A 22,287-nucleotide genomic window follows, 5' to 3' on the forward strand; every position below is an offset into this window, starting at 1 on the left:
ATCATCTAACACACTGGCCAGCCTTCCCTTCTCACCCAGGTGAACCTCTGCAGTATTTGACACCCTCTGGCCTAGTCTCCTTCTTTTTTTAGTCATCTTTTAAAATTTTGTGCGTTCTATGACTCTACTATCACCAGTTTGCAAACAACTTCCCTGCCCATGTTGCAAGCCATATTGCAAGCCCTCATCTTCCCACACTCACGTTTCCAACTGTGGATGACACCTTTCCACAGGAATCCTAAAAGCATGCTCAAAATAGAACACAGCGCCTCCTCTCAAAAAAAAAAAAATTTACACATTAACTCTATTCCACCCTTTAATTAATGGCATCATGAACTCTCCAGGAAACTAAAGTTAAAAATTGGCAATGATCTTTAATTTACCTTTTTATTTTACACGCACATCCAATCATACATGGAATCTTGGCAAACCCCTCTAAGGAAGTCTGCCCCCTCTCTTTCTGCTCCGTGGATATACTCTCATAAAGCTCGCCATCTTGCCCCACTCGAGGACTTCAATGTAGTCTTCTGTATTATAGATTGTTCTAGTCTTTTCCTCCTCTGATGCATCTGACATACTGCTGTCAAAACCATGTTTCCAAACAAGACTCTGATCATATTATGTTAGACTCAGTTTCAGTGACTTCCGACCACATATGGAGTAAAGTACAAATGCCCAGCCCAGTACTCAAATATTTATCTGGCTTCTACCTATCCTTCCGCGATTGTTCTCCATTAGACTCCACTCCCTGGAAAGAAACACTTAGGTCCTCTGTAATCCTCCACTGCCTGTCCCAAAGACTGTGCTCTTCTCCTTCCACTTATAACAAATCTCTTTTGTCTGCAGTGCCTCTCCCTTTTTCATTCTTTCTCAGTTTGTCTATTGAAGAATAAGCTTAAACCCCAGCTTTTCCAGAAACCCTTCCAAATCTCGCGGTTGTAATCAATCTTCCCTTCTTTTCTCCCGAATGCTCCCATGACCATTTGAAGTGAATCTCTACCAATCTTTTTAAAAATGATATGTGTGTGTGAGAGGGCACACATGCTTATGTGTGTATATGTGTGAATATGTATATGTATATGTATACATCACACACATACACACACACATATATATATATACTTAGACTCCTTGAGAGCAGAGATCTGTGTCTTAACTTTGTTTTTTATCACGTACAGCACCACCAAAGGGTTTTTCTCAAGATGCCGTACTTAAGAGTTTGGTGGAGAATCTTGTTAAATGTCTGTGTCTACTGTGCCAATCCAGATTCACTTGTCCTTCTGAGACCTCAAGCGATTTGGAGCAATAAAACCTGTACTCTCTGTACTTTTCTTTGCAGGCTTAGTCACTTTTATGGTACCTATTTCCTGGTGACACATATTTACTTTGTGGTCAGATGTTTTACGATAAATTAGGTGCAAATTGGGACTCAGCTATCCAGGTTCCTGAAACATCTCAGGACACTTTCAGACAGTGCCCCTTGAAAATCTCATAAAGCTTACCCCTCACCACAGTCAAAGGCACATAAGTAAATCCACATAGGTTTACATGCAACTGCAGAAGGTTTGTAAACACTCTCTCCTCCCTGAAAATCTATTGATGGTGGCGGGGGACAGGAGTGTGGTCATTGGATCCTAGGTTAAAAGTCGTGGAACTGGGAGGATTTTTACAGTTACTAGAAATGTAAATGCAAACAAAATTTCTAACGTCACTTAACACTGGTAGAATGACTACAAAAATTTAAGAAGTTAGAGCCACTTAGAAAGTTCCTAAAATATCAGGGAGAGCATGTCTCACTCTTACATCAGAATTCTAGAAAATTCAGGAAGCAAATTTATTTTAAATACTTTTTGTTACAAGGCATATAACATGTTTGAACTAGTATGCTATTTCAGCTTTTAACACATTTTCTCAATTATCTGCTAGTATGTTAACTAAATAATTTCCAAATGCAGATTAAAAAGTATACTAGATCTGAAAAATTAGAATTAGAATCGTCCTTGAAGCATTTTACCTTTTTCAGAGCTAGCCTTTTGAATCAGAGGGATACACTTAAAAGAAGTTATAGCAACAGCAATAAAAACCGTTTGAAGATAATGTACTGTGATATAATTTAGTTATCACCAGCAAATTGTAAAGTAAAATTCTACTTAGAAATTAGATTATATTTCAGCAAAAACATAAGAATTCTGTCAGTCTCTTTTTTGGTTGTTTGTTTATAAATTTGTTCCTCAGTTTTTGTTTGTTGTAGGACCTCGAGAAAAATATGTTTTCAATTTCCTTATTCATTTATTTTTTTCATTTAATCATCCTTTCGACAATGCTTATGGTGAGCACACTCCGTTGACACAGCACAGTCGGCCCTCAGTATCTGTGGGTTCCACATCTGTGGCTTCAATCAACTTCAGATCTAAAATATTTGGGGAAAAAATGTGTCTGCACTGAACATGTACAGTTTTTTTTTTCTTGTCATTTTCCCCTAAGAAATAGAGTATAATATGCATTTACATTGTAGTTGGCATTATAAGTAACCTAGAGGCAATTTAAAGTAGATGGGTGGATGTACATAGGTTATATGCAAATACTCTGAGACCTTATATCAGGAACTTGGGCATTCTTGAATTTCGGTATCTGAGAGAAGTTGAACCAATACTTCATGAATACCGAGAGATGAATGTTCTTGCTCCTAGAAGGGCAAGATTGAGGAAGGTGAGTTGACTCTTGTTTTCACAAAGTTTATTCTCTAGAAGGTAACAGACTAATAAGCAATTATTTCAAAGTAGAGAAATGGCTCTGAGATCATAAAAGGCAGGCTTCCGGGTAGATGGAGGTATTAGGGAGGTCCTTGTACAGGAAGCGGTTTCTAGGGAGACCTGGGGGAAGAGTACTGCCGGGTGGCAGATAGGAATGAGCAGGCCCCCTGAAAGGTCAGCCATGGGAGAAGGCTTAGAGATGAGAGGAAAAGGACGTTTAGAGCAGGAAATGTAAAAAGAGGAATGGGAAGAGATGAGATGAGAAAGTGGGCAAGAATCTGATCAAAGAGCATCATGTGGTTCATGTTAACAATTAGGCATTTTCCTAGGGACAGTGGGGAGCCTCTGAAGTATTTTATGAGTCTGTTTGGCATTTTAGAAAAATTACCCTGACTCAATGTAAAAAGGGGATTGGATAAAACAGGCAAATGTGTTAGCTCACTGCTGGGTTGAACTACTCTGTTGGGGTATAGCCCTGAACTTACAGTTAGGGACATAGTTAGCTCTCCTAATTATGGTGTACTTTAGTTCTAGTGGTTCTCAAACCTGATCAGTAGAGCCAACCAGTGAGCTTTTAAAAAGGCACATTCCTGCCATCCCCCTGCCTCACCTAATTCAGAGAATCTGGAGAAATGACCACACACCGTGCTATGTCCTTGCACCATTCATAGGTGACTTACGTACTGGTGAGTATATCTTTGAGGGGACCACCAGCTCATCATTGTCCACTCTGGACCATTCCAACTTTGGAATCCAGGAGGCTGTCTCACAATGGGAGATGCCACATAGCAGCCTACAAACACATTCCTCTCACAGCCATGCCCAGCAGGAGCCCTAAGTTATCCATATTGCCTCTTACAACATCCGTAATAGGCTTATTCCAAATGTGTCTTCTGCAATAAAGTTGTTCTTGATCATTCTAATCAGACATGATTTCTCATTCCTTTGCATTCCCATAGGACTTTGCACTGTATGATAACCTTTATCATTTTGCACATTATAATCTCATTTCTTAAATCCTGAGACTTGGTTGGTTTTTGGTTTTGCCTAGGGTAATAACTTGTCAATACCTATTTAATTGACCCGCTTACAGATATAATAGGGGGAGGATGGCTTCAAAGAGAAAACATACAAACTCATTTTTTAAAAGCCTGTATCTTTGAACACAAAGATGAAAAGTAAAATAAACATTAGCTCAAGAGGAGACCAGAGGTTGTAGAATATTGTATTGTCATGCCTGGAGAAAAATAAACACTCGATTTCCAGATTTTTTCACTGGGATTCTAAAGCATCAGAATAAAGCAAATCGACTTTAGGGGAAAATAGAGGTAGAAAGATAATGGGGTTCTTGCAAGTAATCCCCTGGAGGGTACAGGCAAAAAAGAAAGGTCCTTTAAGGAAACAGAACTTCGTAACAGTTATGGGTGTAATATTTACCATATGTCCCATATGTTTTCAAATTACAAAAGTGCAACTCTTTCCCACAGCGCATTTGCAAGTGGACCTGACAACCCCAGGCCACAGAAATCAAAGACGGTAATCTACCATAAATTCTGCCACGCTAGATGGAACGAATATCTGTCAGATTTTTTAACTTAAACTTCTCTTCCTTTAAGAAGGCAGCATCTGGCTCTAAACTGCACATTTAATTTAAAAATCCTTTAATAACAGCATTAATTCTCATCGTTTTGCATTCTAGCAGTCTGTGACAAGCAAGCATGCGCTGCGTGCGTCAGGCAACCAGACTGCAAAGAGGAGAGGAGGCTGGGGAAGCCGAGGCGAGAGTTCAGGGAGGAGGCCGGGGAAGCCGAGGCGAGAGTTCAGGGGGCACTGTTTGCCTGGAGCCCTGCTCCGAGATCAAATCAGGGGCCGAGGACGTGTGATAACGAAGGAATAAAAGTTAGAATTCTTTTTGTCTAAGCAGAAGATATCTTTCAAATAGGACAATGCACTTGAAGCTTATAAAAAGCAAACTGGGCCCTTAAGAAGGAGAACTCAGCAGTGGTGACAAAGGCCAAGAATCCTGATCTTTGGACACGAAGTTAGACTTGGCTTCAATTGCAATTTCTAATGATCTTATTTTTGTGCTCTCCCTTAACCCTGGCTCAGTGCTTATCTTTTTAAATGACTTGTTCCCTTTCGTTGAAAAAGCAAAACTGGGAACCTCTCACAAAGTAAAGGCCACACACCCTCTGTCCCCACCCTAGGGCAGGGCGTGCAAGGAGGGAGGTGCCCTACTAAGAACTGAGAATTTACTAAGAGTAAATTCCTCCCTAACGCTTAGCAGCCTGACTTAGGAAAGAGGGCAGGGTGGCTGTGATCCAGAAGCTGAGGGTGTCCCCAGAGATATAAGGAAGGGGATGTGCTGCAGTGACACACCTGGCTTAGGGGGAGAAGGCAGGAAGGGCAGAAACTAGCTGGGTTGGGGGGTGGGGAGGCAGGAAGGGAAACCGAGTTTGGAAGAAAGGGCCCCTTCTAGTGAGACTGAGTAAGCACAGAAAAAAAAAAAAGCCCCTGCTTTGTGTGGCCTCCCTAGAGCCTGGGGAATTTGCAGGAGATAAAAGGCCAGACATTTCCCCCTGAAGACTGCAGGGTAGCACCTTTGTTTGTGAATGGCACACACCCTGGGGTGGGGATTCCTTTGCGGTTGCCATGACGGCCTGTCACACAAAGTTACATGTCCTGCTCTCTCCTCCCTGCCGCCCCAGCTGTCTTAAAATGGCCTGGATTTTAACTTCTGCATTCAGAATGGAGGAACTTTGCTTCTTAGGGTTTCTAACGCAAATGACCTAATTTTAAAGTCCATTTCCCTCCGCCGGCCGAGCAAATCTACATGAAGGGTACCCTGAGAATATTTTATTTTTGTATTCAGTGCCTTTTCAAATTTTCTGTTTTATGTAAAGCTGTGTTTGGGGCATTAACAATGCATAACGATAACCACTTAACAAACACTGCGAAGGGAATCTGAAGTAGGTGGCCTCTAGGGTGGGGGAAGAAAGAATAGAAAGATAATTCTCTGAGACCGAAGAAATATTTCCCTAACTATGATTTCACAGTAAAAGTTTCCTAATAAAAAAATGTTGTAAAGGAGGGTCTTTTAAAAAGTGGTCTGTGGTCTGACCCCTCTTCAAATTTACTTTTATGACTAATGTTGGGTGACCAAGCAATTATTATACTACTGAAAAATCTCATTAACTGCCTGAAAAATCAGCCAGTAAAGTGGGCCATGTCTGGTTTCTGCTCAACCTCATAAAACCTTTGAAGTCCCATAAGCGACCACATAATGACAGTAGAACTGGGGATGCCTCGACAACCTTCTTTCCTTCAGTCCCTCAGCTCGGCTCTAGAAGGCAGGCCCTGAACACCAGGGATTTTTGCCCACTCTATTCACAGTGTCCCTGGCACGTAAGAGGTGCTCAGGAAATATTTGTTAAGTAAGAGAAATTTAATTATTGTGATATCTGAGGGATTAAAGCCAAAAGTTAACCATAATAATATCCTAGATGATTTGAGGAAAATAAAACATTTATGCTGGGAACTTTTTTTAGATAAGATGTTAACTTGTATTTTCTTTCCCTGCATATTAGATCCCTTTTCTTCTCTCTGTTGAAGCCAGTAGCATGGGCTGAGCCTGTTTCCTCAAGGGCTCCATAAAGTCATATCCCAGCAAAAAGCCTAGTATGGTGTTTCTAAAATTACCTAACCTTTGTTGCAGACAAAATATCCTTGCAATAATCACGAAGAGAGAAAGATTTTCTCAAGCCAAGAAAGAGATGGTCAAGGCTGGTTGGAGGCACGCTGGTAAGAATGGAGTTCTGTGGATCTTGGAGCAATGAATATTTGTCAGAAGCAGATCTTTGGGGCTGGCAAGAGCTCAGATTGGGGATGGTTACAGTTGGAGGAACCATGAGCAGCCTAGAGAAGACCCTTATGCACCAAGTGTGGTAGGGGAGCCCCAGAGTCAGGAGCGCCTGTCCTGTGGGCACAGTGAGCTTGAGACAGCTGTCTTGGAAGAAACATTTGAACAGGGCTTCACACTTCCAAGGTCTTGACCTTCCTCAGACCCCCTGAACACAGGTCTCAGAGGAGGGAAGGGGAAAGTCAAGATACACTGAGGTCAAATGGTCCTGCAAGGGTATTAGTCTGTTCTTATACTGCTGTAAAGAATTTATCGAGACTGGGTAATTTATAAAGGAAAGAGGTTTAATTGATTCGCAGTTCAGCATGGCTGGGGAGGCCTCAGGAAACTTACAATCATGGCAGAAGGGGAAGCAAACACGTTCTTCTTCACACGGTGGCAGGAATGACAAGTGCCACGCAAAAAAGGGAAACCGTCTTATAAAACCATCAGATCTCACGAGAACACGCTCACTATCACAAGAAAAGCATGAGGTGACTGCCCCCACAATCTCATCGCCTCTCACAAGGTTCCTCCCCCAACACATGGGGATTACAATTTGGATTACAATTCAAGATGAGATTTGGGTGAGGACACAGAACCAGACCATATCAGCCAGCTATGCAGGAAGGGGTCCCAAAATACCATTTAAATTAGCTCATAGAAAATATATTGCTCTTTCTTCTGGTACAACGTGAGTTTTTGAATGGAGATTTGCACGGAGTATACATTATTTTAAAGCAATGCATTTTAGAGCAAACACAGATATACTTCGTATTCATATGAATTTATAAAAGCAAATTCATACTTCAAAGAAACATCATGCTCCCTTGGGCTGTGACTTCTGTCTCACTCAACTATCGGTTCGATGAAGCAGAAACTGTGTTTTGCCTGTAATGTCTTCCCAGGGCCTGACACATCACCTCACTCAGAGGAGGTACCAAATATTTGTTGAAATAATAAATGAATGCATGACCTCCTCTGCATGCATTCAATAGAAAATTTTCAGATATTCTCAAGATGATGCAAAATATATGTACACACCAGGCACTATACCACTGTCTATTTTTAAAAACATGGTTTTCTTAGGCAGATGTGTATCATTAGCAGGTGTAACTACGAATGATCCTATGGGTCTGATGATATGAGCAGATTAAACACCCTCTCACATTCGTTTGCATTCTCTCTTGGAGCCAGACTCTGAATAAAACAAATATTAGCTCTCTGCCTTTTATATGTTGTTTTCTTCTTTAGGTTCTTTCCAGCCATTCTGTGTCCAAATGGCTTTACAGTAGTGTATCTTCAAGATGCCTATTCTTTATACTTTTACTTTCCAACCATTCCCAATCTGAGAAACTTTTTCTCATCCAGTGCATGTCAGTACCCGGTGAGATAGATATATTTGGTACGTATCAGTAGAGGCATATTCTGTTGCTTTCTTCTCAGCACAAATCATAATTAACACCTGTCAGACTGGAGACAGTGATATGTGTACTTTGAGCATGGCTGAAGGAAAGGGAAGACGTGGGTATAGTCAGGGATAGCATCAAAACTTTGTACTCCCTGCAAGGGCAGGGGCATCCCCAATCAGAGCAGCGACCACAGCAAAAAGCACAGCCTCCCCTTAAACTACCAGCACAGCCTCACTGGTGTGCACCACCTGAGCATCCCGCCAGGTACCCGTCATCAACCCAACTCATCACCTCCAACGGAACAACCAAGAGGTGCGGTGTTATCACGGGTACGGATCTGCTTCCCACCTTTCACCAGAATACCTCCATGGCCTCTCCCTCAGCCCATGTGTTGACTTTGCCTGTCTTCAGCTTTGCTGCTATTTTAAACTTGGCTTTCCTGGTCAGCCTGGTGCAATCAGACCACAGGCACGAACCCTTTTACGACGTACCTTCCGCCCAGCCCTTCCCCTTCATTCTCCTGCCTCCACCCCAATCCACGTCCTATCTCCTTGCACAAGAATGACTGTAACAGCTTCCATACCCTTGGTCTCTCTGCCCCTGGTGAGTCCATTCTTCACACCTCTTGGCGTTAGTCTAATTAAAACCCTGTCTGTTCTGTCCCTCTACTATTCAAAAGATTGTAGTGGCACTAATTGCTCTAAGGAAAAATTCCAAATTCTTTGGAAACTTTCAAAGCTCCATCTTCCATTCATTCAGGCAACAAGTTTTAATTGAGCAGCCACTGTGTTGCACATACACTTTTAGGTACTGGGGATTCAGAGAGGAAAAAGGACAAAGATCCTTCCCCGTTTTATGGAGCTTTATCTACTCAGTCAGGCCCTCACTGGGACAGAAACACATACCAAGCCCATGACTGTTTGGGGCTTTTGTTTGTCTTGTTCCCCTTTCTTTCTGACTCACTTTTAATACTTTAGAATTCATCAGTATCCTTGGAGCAGTGTGCCAACCTCCCCTGTGGAGCAGCTGCCATTCCCATGGGCTCCCTCCTCACAACAGACCTGTCCTACCAGGACCAGAAAAGAATGTGACCCTCCAGCTGACACTTTTTACCCCTTTTTCTTATTGTACTTAGGTTTTCATATTGCTTGTTGCTCCACTAAAGTATAAGCCTCTGCCCATGGGACACGGCTCTGTTGGGCTTGTTCTCTGCTCTGTATCCAGCAGCGAAAACAGTGCACAGCATGTAGTGTGTGTCAACAGATATCTGTTGAATAAGTCAGGGAAGGAAGAATAAATGCATTGCCATTCTTAAATGGCTTTTCTTGCATTAAATGATTGTATTCTAGTTTTCTGTAGGAATATCTATAGGTCATAATAATGATAGCTGATATTTATGGCATGCTTACTAAGTACCAGCCATTGTTCTAAGCAATTTTACCCATACTATTTTACTTCATCCTCACTACAATCCTTTGATGTGGGTTTTGTTATTATACCCATTGTAAAGAAGAGAACACTGAGGCACAGTGAGCAATTCACCTAGTCTAAGATTAAAATGCAATTGGTTCACCCACAATACAAGCTGTTCCCAGTATAATGGCATGTATATTCATAACCACCTTGTCTTAATTACCTTGGTGTATCATAACAAAATACCATGTATGGGTGGCTTAGAAAACAGAAATATATTTCTCACAGTTCTGGAGGATGAGAAGTCCAAGATCAAGGTCTTGGGCAACCTTATTCACATCCTGATGAGGGCCCTCTTCCTGGCTGGTGGATAGCCACTTGGCAAAGACAGAGAAAGAGAGAGACAGAGAGAGAGAGAGAGAGAGAGAGAGAGCACTCTGTTATTTCTCTTTATAAGAGCACTAATCCTAACACATTAGCACATCACCCTATGACTTCATCTTACCTTAATCACCTCCTGAGGTCCTAACCTCAAATCCAGTCACATTGGTGATTAGGGCTTCAGCATATACATTCTTTTGTAGAGGGTGAGCACAAACATTCAGTTCATAACACCGGTTCTCCCTTCAGCCCATAAACATTTCTCAAGCACCTTCAGTGGGTTGGCACTTGAGAAGAGGAATAAATCAAGCTAACTCTCCACCTTCAAAGATATCTCTTCCTAGGGGAGAAGACACATGAGCAAAATTTCAGTATAATGACAGAAGTTCTCTAATAAAATTATGAACCTATGTTCATAGCTATGAGCACAGAGGTGGAAGCACACCACCTGCAAAGGTCAGAGAAGTCTTTGCAGGGAGCCACATTTAGACTCTGTCTAGGGCAAGTGTGCCCAACCCGTGTCCTGCAGGTCACATGCGGCCCAGGGTGGCTTTGAATGTGGCCCAACACAAATCTGTAAACTTCCTTAAAACATTATGAGATTTTTTTTTTCTTTTAGTTCACTTACTATTGTTAGTGTCAGTGGATTTTATGTGTGTCCCAAGACAATTTTTCTTCTTACAATATGGCCCAGGGGAGCCAAAAGATTGGGCTCCCAGGTCTAGAGTAACATAGAACAGTGCCATGCAGTTGATAGGAAGTTAGAGATCCCAGACTTTAGGAGCAACGTTTGAAAAGCCTCAAGGCCCTGGTAGCATGAACCTTTTAGAACATTTACCATTAGTTTGGTAATGCTTGAGCTGGGAGACCCATGTGAAGGGATTAGGCCAGAATTCCAAGCGAGGGGCCCACATGGACATCTGTATGCCATAGAAAGCATGGACTTCTTCCTGGTGCATTTTAAACAGGAGAGGGATGTAGTAGTGAGGTTGGGAACACGGATGGATGGAAACAGCAGGAGTAAGTGACAACAGAGAACAGGCCAGGTGGAAGTGCTACATATTCACAGAAGAAATGGTGCCTTAGGAGGCTGAATGGTTTGAATAAGGGACTAAATGCCTTGCCAGAAAGGAAGGAGCAAGAGAGCACCCAAGGTTTCTGGTTTGAATGCTGAATAAGTGAGGGCTCCTTTAACTGACTTGGAAAATATCTTTCAGCTGAGAAATGCTACCATCAAGATAGCGATGGCTTGGAGACAATTATCTCGACTCCACCCGGAGTTTAGCAGTGACTTTTGGAATCAGAATATAGATTTTGGAGTCGTCAGCTAATAAATTGGCCATTTATTAGCAGCCCTAGACAGTGACAATAGAGGGTTAGGGAAGCACCAGGTCATTCTGGGAGTAGGGGCCCCACGTGCCTGGAGGAGTCACCTTCTCACGAAGCCTGCCCTGATGGGGAGAAGCGAGGGAGACAGAGAAATGGAGATTTGGGGAACACGGAGGGCAAAGGCAATGCTCTGGTGGATGCCGAAGAAACGATTGCAGTGAACTCACAGGCAAACAAGAGTCTGCAAATACAAGTCACATGCTGGAAGAAAAGTTTAGTCTATTAAATATGGGCATTTTCTCCCTTGAGATTATTTTTAACAAAACCCTGCATTAGATTAGGAAGTTTATTAAATTCCATGTCAAAACGAACATCAGACCCATTATCTGAGCCTCCCAGGGAGGGTAAGCAATTTGTGCTATAACAATAGCTAGTAAAAGTGAAAACTAAATGCTGGGCCACCACCTCACAGTGATGCGTGGTTATTGCCGCGAAGACTCAGGCCAGCAGCCCAGCTCCCCAAGGCCCCGTGCAGCATTACAGAGCTGAAGGATTTGCCAGGGTCCCAGGGCTGGCCCCACTTTACAAGCTGCTACTCAGGGGCAGAGGCACATTTTCTGAGCTCATTAGACTAAAGTGTAAAGCAAGAATGCCAGTGTAATAAGTTCAGAGAAATAAAGCTGTCACACAGCCTCAATTAGCAAGACCAAGACATTCTGTCCCGAAGGTTAAGCCATTGGACAAATCGAATCACCGTCAGGAGCCTCTTTGTTGAGATACCCCAAAGATTGACTGCATAAGGACCTGATATTCAAAGTAGTGTGTGCAGCTCTTTCTCCCTGTATACCAAGCCAACTTATTCATTAACTATGAGAATTTACTGTGGCAGGAACCAAAACACTTTAAATTCACAGACCTTCCCAGGGGAAGCCGATCCACAATCAGAATCTTCTTGTGAGCACAGACTAATCACCAAGGGGTGAGAGTACTGGGTATTTAAATGGCATCAGGCAAAGGTGTGCTGAGCTGCGCATCTCACGGAAGGGACAGCTTCTGCTACTAGGAGATTATTTGGCGAAGCTCCGCCCATTGCCATTGCACTTGAGAGGTTCTTACCAAGGGAGCCAGGTGCTCAGGAGTCCCTCGGCCAGTGTGCCTCTCTTCTCTAGAGGGATGGTAGCAACACATGCCTGTGAGACTCTTCTTCATGTCCATTGCAGACACTGGGTGCCTAATGGAAACATTTTGTTTTTCTCCAGATATGGAAATGAATGTAAGCTGCACTGCAGTCTCACAAGCCCTGTGGGTCTGTTAGAGGGTCGTTTTGCACATCTGTACTTGCTGCTTTAGGTGTTGATGTTGCAGCTGAACCTGCAATAGGCAAGCTTATTTCCTTCCTAAGAGAATGTGGGGATGTCTTGCTGTGTCTCTTAACTTTGCAAAATTGTAAAGTGCAGGAGTCCAGGCTGAAAGCCTGGTGTGCTGGATCCTAGTCCCTGGTTCTTTCCAAAACTCGAGTCCCTCATCTGCTCTCTCCGGAGCAGGCTCGCTCAAATGTTTTGCTCAGTTGTCCTTTCCAGCTCTGAGTCTCTGGTCTATAGTTCTGCAGTATTCACTGAGCAGCAGCCTTAAGTATGAATGATTATGAGGAAGAGATTAAAAGAAGAGGAACTATTCTCAAGAGCCTATAGTTTTAAAAATCTGCACCCTTCAATTCTGATTTAGATTTAAATCTAGCTCTTGGTGTGAATCTTATTTTAAATTTCATGAAAATTGGAAACGGCACGCGCACCGGACGGTGATGATGCTGCCCATGACTTTCCCTCTTTCTCCTTGCTGTAGTCCACCCCAGCGCTTCTTGTAGGGTGTTCCCTGGACCAGCAGCCTCAGCATCAACTGGGAACTGCTTAGAAATGCAAAGCCTTGGCCCCACCCCATGCACACAAAATTGGAAAGGCTGGGGCGGGACCAGTAGTCTTGTTTTAATCACATAGAGCTGCTCTCTACTCTGATTCAATGCGTGACTTCAATGCACACTCAGTCTGAGAACCACCATTCTAGCTTTGAATACTTTAGTAAATATCAGGACTTTAAAAGAATAAAGAAAAATCAAACGAGAGCAGTTACAATAATTCTTTGGCTCTTAGGTGAAGGCGTGGCCATCTTTATGTATACTAGGTCATAGTTGGTTAAAATTAGAGTTTAACTGAAATCATCTGCTTGTTTTCACTTAGCTAAAGAATTCCTGACCCACATGATCTCGGGCTGCAAAATTAATATTCTGGAAAAGTCAACTGACATTATTTGCAAAGGCTCAGATCACTTTCTGATAGGTTTATTTTAAATCCATTGACCTGTTTTATCTGACTAGATAGACCAAACAAACATGAAATAATTGAACTTCCTCCAGTGCCACTTTCTAGCATCCCTTCTCTCAAACCCTGGAGTAAATACACGGATATACATAATTTTATATAAAGATCAAACTCCAATTAAACACAATGAGATTTCTTGTCTCAGTGTCATAGTTGCACACTTCATAGAGAGGAAGTAAGACAAAGGTCCTCAGAAAATAAAAAATGTGAATGACATAAAAAGGAGTAATTTAATATCATGTTAACTCATTCTATATGATACCAGGTAATGCTGCGTCACGGCAACGACATGGTGTAAAGTATTCCCATATGATTTTGGAACCATTAATATGAGAATTCCATATTTCATAACATCAACAAACCAGATGAACCTCATCCACTTAAAGTAGAGAACAGTGGAAAGAACAAATGTCTTGTGAAGAGTGGAAATGAGAACAATGTGTCTGAGGTTAAACAATGGAAAGAAGTTAACGGATGTTGTGCATGAAATAATTATTTCTACAGTGCCATTTCTGCATTTAGTTTATGAGCATGTCAGGGTGTACGATCCAGGCATACTTGAAGAAAAGAAATGCCAATCCACATGACGTGTGGAGAAAGTCACTGCAGAAATAGCAAGTTCCATAAAAGCCTTATTAAAATTGAATCTCTGAAAAAACAAAGCTTATCTGGCCAGAGTATACATATATGAGATGGGCCTGTGACTCATTTAAGCCCACTATGAGCTTTTATGAATGAAATATTTCTTCAACTATTTGATAATCTAAAGGGATTAGGAGATAGGAATTTATATAAAAACCAAACCAAACCAAACCAAACCAAAAAAACCTCATAACATTTAAATTGCTACCACGATGAACAACAGTGTCCTAATTTTTATCTAGGCTGATTTTACACATTCTGGATAGTTATTGTGTAGGCAAATGACGTGTTAGATGCAGTATTAAAGTTAAAAGTCTCTGTTTTTAACCTCACATAAATTTCCAAAATAATGGGCAACAGTATGAAGACTCATTAGGCACTTAATCTTACAGAGAGAATATAATAACATTGCAAAAGTAAAACAAGTCTAGAATTATTTTGCACGTTAAAAATTAAGGGACTGTGACTCAGACAGGTCTAGTGATTTATTCAAAGTCACAAAACCACATATAGTTGGATTTAGGACATTGCCCCTCAATCTAGTACCCATTCTTAGTAGGTGGTAGATTTGATAGAGACGGGTCCGTACCGTTCCGTTCCAAGGGATATTTAGGACACAGCTCATAGGGAGGTAAACTGCTGAAGGCCAACTCCTTTCAGACTGGCCTCTTCAAGAGGCCCATGGAAGTCATTATGGACTAGTGCTTAGGCATTCAATATGGGTCAAGGTGTGAGCTTGCAGCTGAAACCAGTTTCTGCCACAAGTCCTTGGCTCCAGTATCCTGATCACACCAGTAGAGGGACTGGGGCAGCTCAAGTGACGCTGTCCAGTGCGGGGATCCCGGCTGCAGAATCTCAGGGCTGGAGTCCGACATCTGGCCACACTAGGTATCCAGACACTGGCCTAGAGAGTAGTGTGCAACAAGCCCCTGAACTCTGCTTTTCCACTCTCCCTATTTGGAGAATTCACCCGCACATACACACATAATCCAGAATGCCCGGCATGTGGCTGCTTGCTCCTTCACACTATGGCTTCGTGACAATATCATTCCTGTGACGCTGCCATCACTCAAACACTTCCATGTTTGAAATTCCTTTTGTGAATCATTTTCTAAGCTTTTCTTTGGAATTTTGTCATTGGTAAACAATCTTCAGACTTTGTATGTGGCCTTCATTTCTGGATAGGGGGGAAAAGGCAATGGCTATTCAGAGCCAAGTTTGGTGAATAAGGGTGAATAATCCACCTGCATAATGTTATTTGGTCAAAATAAGTGCTGTGCCCAGAAGAAATAGATGGATTATGTTTTTGGTTCCTAAACTGACTCCAAGAGTAATTCCAAGAGAAGAGTTGTAAGCACATTTGAGTAACATCAATCATTAAACAAATTCGTAATATTAAGGAAGGTATTTGAAGAATAGTACTTATCGTCTGAATAAGTTTTAGGGTTTTGTTAAAAAAATGTAATAGATTCTATCCATATTGCAAAGGCACAACACACGTAATTGCTCAACTCTTGTCTTCAACTCAATCATTCATGTCCTCCTCATCCCCCTAGGAGAAGTTCTATACACATACCTGCTTAGCAAACTGAAAAATTTGAAACCTTGAAACGTTAAAATAAGACTCAACATAGTGTTTCTATGCCAAAAAAAGAAGTACATTAGGAATATTACTCTTACTGAGTCAAAATGTTTAACAAGTCCAGATAATACCCTCTGAATCAGTGCCTCAGTAAATCCAAATGCACGCATGTGACAACACAGTCAATAGCATTAGGTTGGTACAAAAGTAATTGTGGTTTTTGCCATTACTTTTGCACCATGTTAATATTTATAAAGGATTGTCAATCAGTCATTTGTTGAGCTACATTGCACACTGAGGTTGATGAAGCGAGCTGGTTGACCTGTTGCCTGGTGATGGCTGAGCGAGAGGACGTCAGCATGTCTTTGCATCTGGGGTTCCCAGATCAGAGCCCTGAAAAGCAGCCACAGTTGTTCCTGACCCAGTTGTTCGCAAGTTCTCCATTGAGTTTTCCCTTCTGTGGTTTTCAAAGAAACTGAACCGGGAGGAACTGATAACAAGAATGAGAAGACACAGGCAAGACACCACATATTGCACACGTGGATTGCAGTATGGTTAATAACAATAATAAAAGTCACCTGAATCAAAAGTGGTATTAATAGAAGTGGCTAAATATCAGACATCAACTAAGTAAATATAGTAAATATTAAGATTCCCTTTCTCAGGGAAATAAAACATAGAAAAATAGAGAAAGCTTAATGGAATTTAAGTTCTAGCACCTTCAAAATCCCTAACCTACCAATTAATATTCAGCGATGCCTTCCTCATTCTTTCTTTTTTTTCTAATTTCTTTCATATCATTTTTACGTTTACTTTCTCTTCGTAAAAATTTCCATGTCTATTTTGTATATATCAAAACCATTTATCATTTAGTTTGTGGTATTTTTGCACCTTCTCTTTTCACAGTAATATAATACCTCTCTCTGTATATTTGTACCTTTATCAATCAAAATTATATATACTAATTAAATACAATTTTATATAGGTCAATATAATAAAATTATATGAATATGCATATATATATATATATATATATATATATATATATAACTGTGTCAATTAAAAACACATAATTACTCTCAGAAATGCTGACACTCATGCTAAATTGTTCCTTCTCACTCATCCTCTGCAGATGGCGGCCATCAATGTTGATTCAGAAGTGAAGCCAAAACATAATTTCCTGGCACTATTCTGGAAGGAAAATAAGTGAGATAAAGTAAAAATGACTACATAGCCAATTAGAAAAAGCAACTACCACCTCCACTCCAAAAAAGTCATGTAAATAAGTTCTAGTCTGTGACTCGTCTTCACCATTCTGTGCACTGGCTTTAAAGGAGCGTTTTACACTCAAATTAAATATTCTCTTTGCTCAAAACTCTATGATTTTAATTTCTAAACATGCATCTTAAAGCAAAGAATTTTGCTGATTTGTTTTTTCTGTATGAGATCTTAAAATGTCTATTTTTCACAAACTGATAAAAATTAATCCTCCATGAAATTAAAAAGATTCAGTCACACACCATTATAATACTGAATCTTCTTTTTTTTCTCATTTTTATTTCTACTTGGTCCTTCTTTAAATTTGTAATACGTCTTTTTCCAAGATATTGTTTGATTCTAAACCCATACACTGATATCAAAATTAATTACTTAACAAAATCCCAAGAATGAATCTTACATCCTTAAGGAGAAGAACATTAATCTGACTCAGACTGACTGAATTTAAAATTTATTTGCAGTTAACATAAAACATTCAGTTTTAAGATCATTGTTACATTTTCAAACAGGCAAATCTTGAAAGACTTGCCTAGATTTGCTCTCAGCATAATTTATATATTTTTTTCTCTAAGAAATAGTTTAGCTTCCACTTAAAATGCATGATGTACATATCTGCCATATTTTGTTTTATTTTAGAGATCTAAATTCTACATTAAGTAGAATATGCAGTTTTAGATTAAAAAAACAGAAAACCTTTTAAATGACTTGGTGTCTTTTTTTATGTCCTTTCAACAAAGTGGGCTTTAGTCAGTGGGATGAAAGTAGTAAAAAAAAAAAAAAAATTTAAGAAAGGAAGAAATAAAAATGTTAAAAGGACAAGGTGAATTAAAATCATGGTAGCACAAGTTCGTGGTCTACAGGGTAAAATGTGAAGACAAGGCCAGGCATGGGGACTCACGCCTCTAATCCCAGCACTTTGCGAGGCTGAGGCCAGGAGTTTGAGACCAGCCTGAGCAACATGGTGAAACCCCATATCTACTAAAAGTACAAAAATTAGCCAGGCATTGTGGTGCGTGCCTTTAATGACAGTTACTTGGGAGGCTGAGGCAGGAGAACTGCTTGAACCTGGGAGGTGGAGGTTGCAGTCAGCTGAGATTTTGCCACTGCTCTCCAGCCTGGGTGACAGAGCAAGACTCTGCCTTTGGGAAAAAAAATTGAAGACGATCACAGTCATACACGTTACAGGACAGTCTTCCCTACTATTTGACAAAGGCATAAGAAGCCCTCCATTGTCAGTTTTCTGTAAGGTTAGATTTGAATCAGAGATCCAACTTTCTATGACCATGTTCCCCTGAATTCATTGCATCAGGTTTTAGTGGTCACCATAGGAAGCAGAATCTTGAGAGAATGGAACCTAGAACAGGCACCTTGTTGATGGGGGTGAAAAAGAAACAAAGAAATTGGAAATATGTGGAGTTTACGTCCAGAGGGGAGAGAGGAAGAATGACTATGTGAGGAGAAACATAATTGGTCAGTGCATTAAAGAAAAATTTCATCATATGACCATTTTTTCCCAAGGCCAAGTCAAGAGAAGTCATGATTCAGCACAGAGAGTAAGGCTGGAAAAGACTTACAAGAAATGAGAATTATTTGAGTTGCTCATTCCAGTGTCTTGGCCTTTTTCATAGCCATTTTTGCTATTTTCCTATCCTTGCATTTCTCTCCTTTTCTTAACATACTTTTGACAAGACAAAAAAACAAAATGACCTGCAGTCAAATCACTGTTTCAAGTAAGAAAGTATAGAATGATAACAATATTTTAGATATATTGGTTTCAATAAAATATATTATAAAATTTTTTTTAAAAAGAAAGTATAGAGAAATCTCTTCTAGCAAATAGTCGACTTCCTTTTTTAATTCCTTAGGATAGGCCCAAACATATTAAGTTCAATGTCTGTCTGGGACATACCATATTTACTCGTGCAGTTCTTAAGTTCATAAGGGATTCCCAATCACAGCTACTGAAATCTTACCCATTCCTTCCCACCTGTCAGTGGTTTTAAACCTTGGAAAAATTGGGGCAGGGGTGGGAGAATTTCAAAAGAGAAAACAGAAAAATCAAAGAGAACAAAAGACGAAGGGAAGCTGAGAAGAGAAACGTCAGATTGGGAGAGTGGGTATCTGTGGGAGATGCTGCATTCACTCAGGAGGAAGGAAGAAGAATGGACATCACCAAAAATCTATCAGCCAGGCTCTCTCATTTCTTCTCTCCTTTCGTTCGTTCCAAACGTCACACAGGGAGCACAGATCCAAAGTACTTCCATTTTTTTCTCACAGTAGAATAACTTCATAGAATAAAATTCTACACTGTTACAATGAAATCCAGCACAAAATATTTTATTTTGTGACTAACATTTGAAATGATCCCAAGAAGATAACTTCAGCCAGAGAGGAGATCTCCCTCTCCAATCTTGGATCTGGGAAAAGCACCTACCCTTTTGGCTCAAGATAGGACATAAGAATGGAGGTTTTTAAACTCTCCTTCTCAGTTTTTTCTTTTCTATATTTCCTGGAACAATTCCTGGGACTAGACATTTGAAAAGGTGAGATAAATTATACCAACCTTTTCAGGATCACATATCTACTGTATGTACAAATAATAAACTCATCTGTCGTGCTTAAAGCATTCCAATAACTAAGGGTTTGCAATGTCTGACTGGGATGATTCAGAAAATACATGTCTTCCACAACTATTTTTATGGATCCCTAATTTGGATTGTTATAGCTCATCTCCCTCTCCTGATTCTTTTAAACTATATCCAAGCCACATAAAATAATATATTCTACCAGACATTCCTTATTTCCTTCAACACCTTCACTGAATTAAAATCAGAAGCTAAAGAATGCAATGTTTCTTTTCTGTACCCTAGGCATAATTCCAGTTTTGACTCATATGTATATAAAGTACGTAAGCATCTTGATTCTTCCAGATCATTTCCTGACCTAACTTCTTTGAAAACTACATAGAAGAGGTAAAAGAACAGTATTGACCCTTTTATTCTACATGGTAGGGCCCTTCAGAAGTCTAAACAGTCTTTTCTGCAGTTTGTGGTGAAGATTCCTCCTTAATTGCAGTCCTTAAAAACATCTATCAGAAGACTAATAGTTTTGTTAATTGAATTTTTTTCTTTATTCATCTATGTTTCCAATAAATATTTTGTCACTATTATAGTTAGAGAGCCTTTGACCACTTAATGTCCAAAACCAGTCCAAGCCTGTCTTCAAAGCATTCCAACAGTATCATAATCTACACAATTATGTCTACAAAAATTGGGTTTAAAAACCACTACTTTTTAGGTGACTTCTCTTTTTACATTTTTATTTATATTTTAAGTTCCGGTACACGTGCAGGATGTGGAGGTTTTTTACTTAGGTAAACGTGTGCTATGGTGGTTTGCTGCACCTATCAACCCATCACCTAGGTATTAAGCCCAGCATGCATTACCTATTTTTCCTAATGCTCTCCCTCCCCACACCCTACCCCCGACAAGCCCCAGTGTGCATTTTTCCCCTACCTGTGTCCATGTGTTCTCATTGTTCAGCTCCCACTTATAAGTGAGAACATACAGTGTTTGGTTTTCTGTTCCTGCTTTAGTTTGCTAAGGATAATGGCTTCTGGCTCCATCCATGTCCCTGCAAAGGACATGATCTCATTCCTTTTTATGGCTGCATAGTATTCCATCATGCATATGTACCACAAACAACCCCATTAAAAAGTGGGCAAAGGACATGAACAGACACTTCTCAAAAGAAGACATTCACACGACCAACAAACATATAAAAAAAAAAAGCTCAACATTACTGGTCATTAGAGAAATGCAAATCAAAACCAAAATGAGATACCATCTCATGCCAGTCAGAATGGCAATTATTAAAAACTCAAGAAACAACAGACGCTGACAAGGTTGTGAAGAAATAGAAACATTTTTATACTGTTGGTAGGAATGTTAATTAGTTCATCCATTGTGGAAGATGGCGTGGTGTTTCCTCTAAAATCTAGAACCAGAAATACCATTTGACTCAGCAATCTCATTACTGGGTATGTACCCAAAGGAATATAAATCATTCTATTACAAAGATACATGCACATGTATGTTCATAGGTGACTTCTTTTTTAATGAAAACTGGGATATGTGTATGAATTTCAATAATGGAATGGGGCTAGGGAGCACCTGAGAAGCTTTAGGATGAAAGTAGGGCAAATACATTTACAGGGTTGAATACAGAATAAGGTAGTTTATGTTATAAAAATAAGAGTTATATGGAATATGCCTGTTTAAACTGTATGTAACCCTTCCTCCACCTTCAGAAGGGTATGCTGTTCTGTTCCTCATTTAATCCCAGGTACACAATCAGGAGAATGCTCTTATAACCAGGATAAGCCTGTAATGAACAGTCTCCTAGCTATTTACTTGAAATCTGTAGCTCATTCTTTGTTTTCAGGCAAAAACACATAATAGCAATCAACTTTTGAAGGAAATAGGAGATCCAAGACAATGCAAGCATTTGAATCTCAATTTGGACATCTCTGGATTGTGATCCAGTTAAATAATGCCTCCCACTGTAGTTCCTCAGTCCAGTGCAAAGTCAAGCCCCAAATGGCTGAATGAAAATCTGAAAGGCTTGGAGAAAATAAATGGACTGTCTGCTTTTCATTATGTTCCAGTCTCAGGATGAGGATACATCTGGTTTTCTGATTACACTTTCCTGTAGTAAAGAAAATTTTAGCCTAGCAGGTCAAACCAGCTGATGACTAGCCAGCTCCAATTACTGACCTGACCTGCTTCTAACCTCAAAGGGGAAAAAAGAAAACCCTTTTTACTCATTCTTAGAAACCGAAATATGGGTGTAGAAGGTTGTTGGTTTTTTTCCCTTGATTAATTAAAGTTGCTTATTCAAATTGTGCTTTAGTACATAGTCTTTAATTATAAACAAAATAATGCCTGACTTCCTTTATAAAACAACACTCTAAGGAAAAGAGAAAGAGAGGCTAGACCCTTTTATTCTTGTAATAAAAAACAACAAAAGCACAGCAATTTCAATATGGCATTTGGAACTTGATTTGTTCTATTTAATGAATAAAAGATAATAGTATTTCTGAAAGGAGACAGTGTCTCTTTAGATAAGGCTTTTCAAACACTTTTTTGTTTGTTTGTTTTTGTTTTTGTTTTTTGTAAATGGGCATCATTCTAAGAGCCATTTCCAACTTACAAATAAATATCAC

At 40.1% G+C, this 22,287-nt stretch overlaps 1 annotated feature.

Annotated features, from left to right (window-relative positions):
* Positions 4,866-5,733: an enhancer, noted in NCBI's record as "OCT4-NANOG-H3K27ac-H3K4me1 hESC enhancer chr13:106752643-106753510 (GRCh37/hg19 assembly coordinates)". NCBI's record gives its function as "activates a minimal SCP1, AML or CMV promoter by ChIP-STARR-seq in naive and primed H9 embryonic stem cells {active_cell/tissue: H9 hESC(naive and primed)}" and the evidence as "EXISTENCE:reporter gene assay evidence [ECO:0000049][PMID:30033119]".

This window comes from Homo sapiens, chromosome 13 (assembly GCF_000001405.40).
Source record: "Homo sapiens chromosome 13, GRCh38.p14 Primary Assembly".
Classification (NCBI taxonomy): Eukaryota; Metazoa; Chordata; class Mammalia; order Primates; family Hominidae; genus Homo; species Homo sapiens.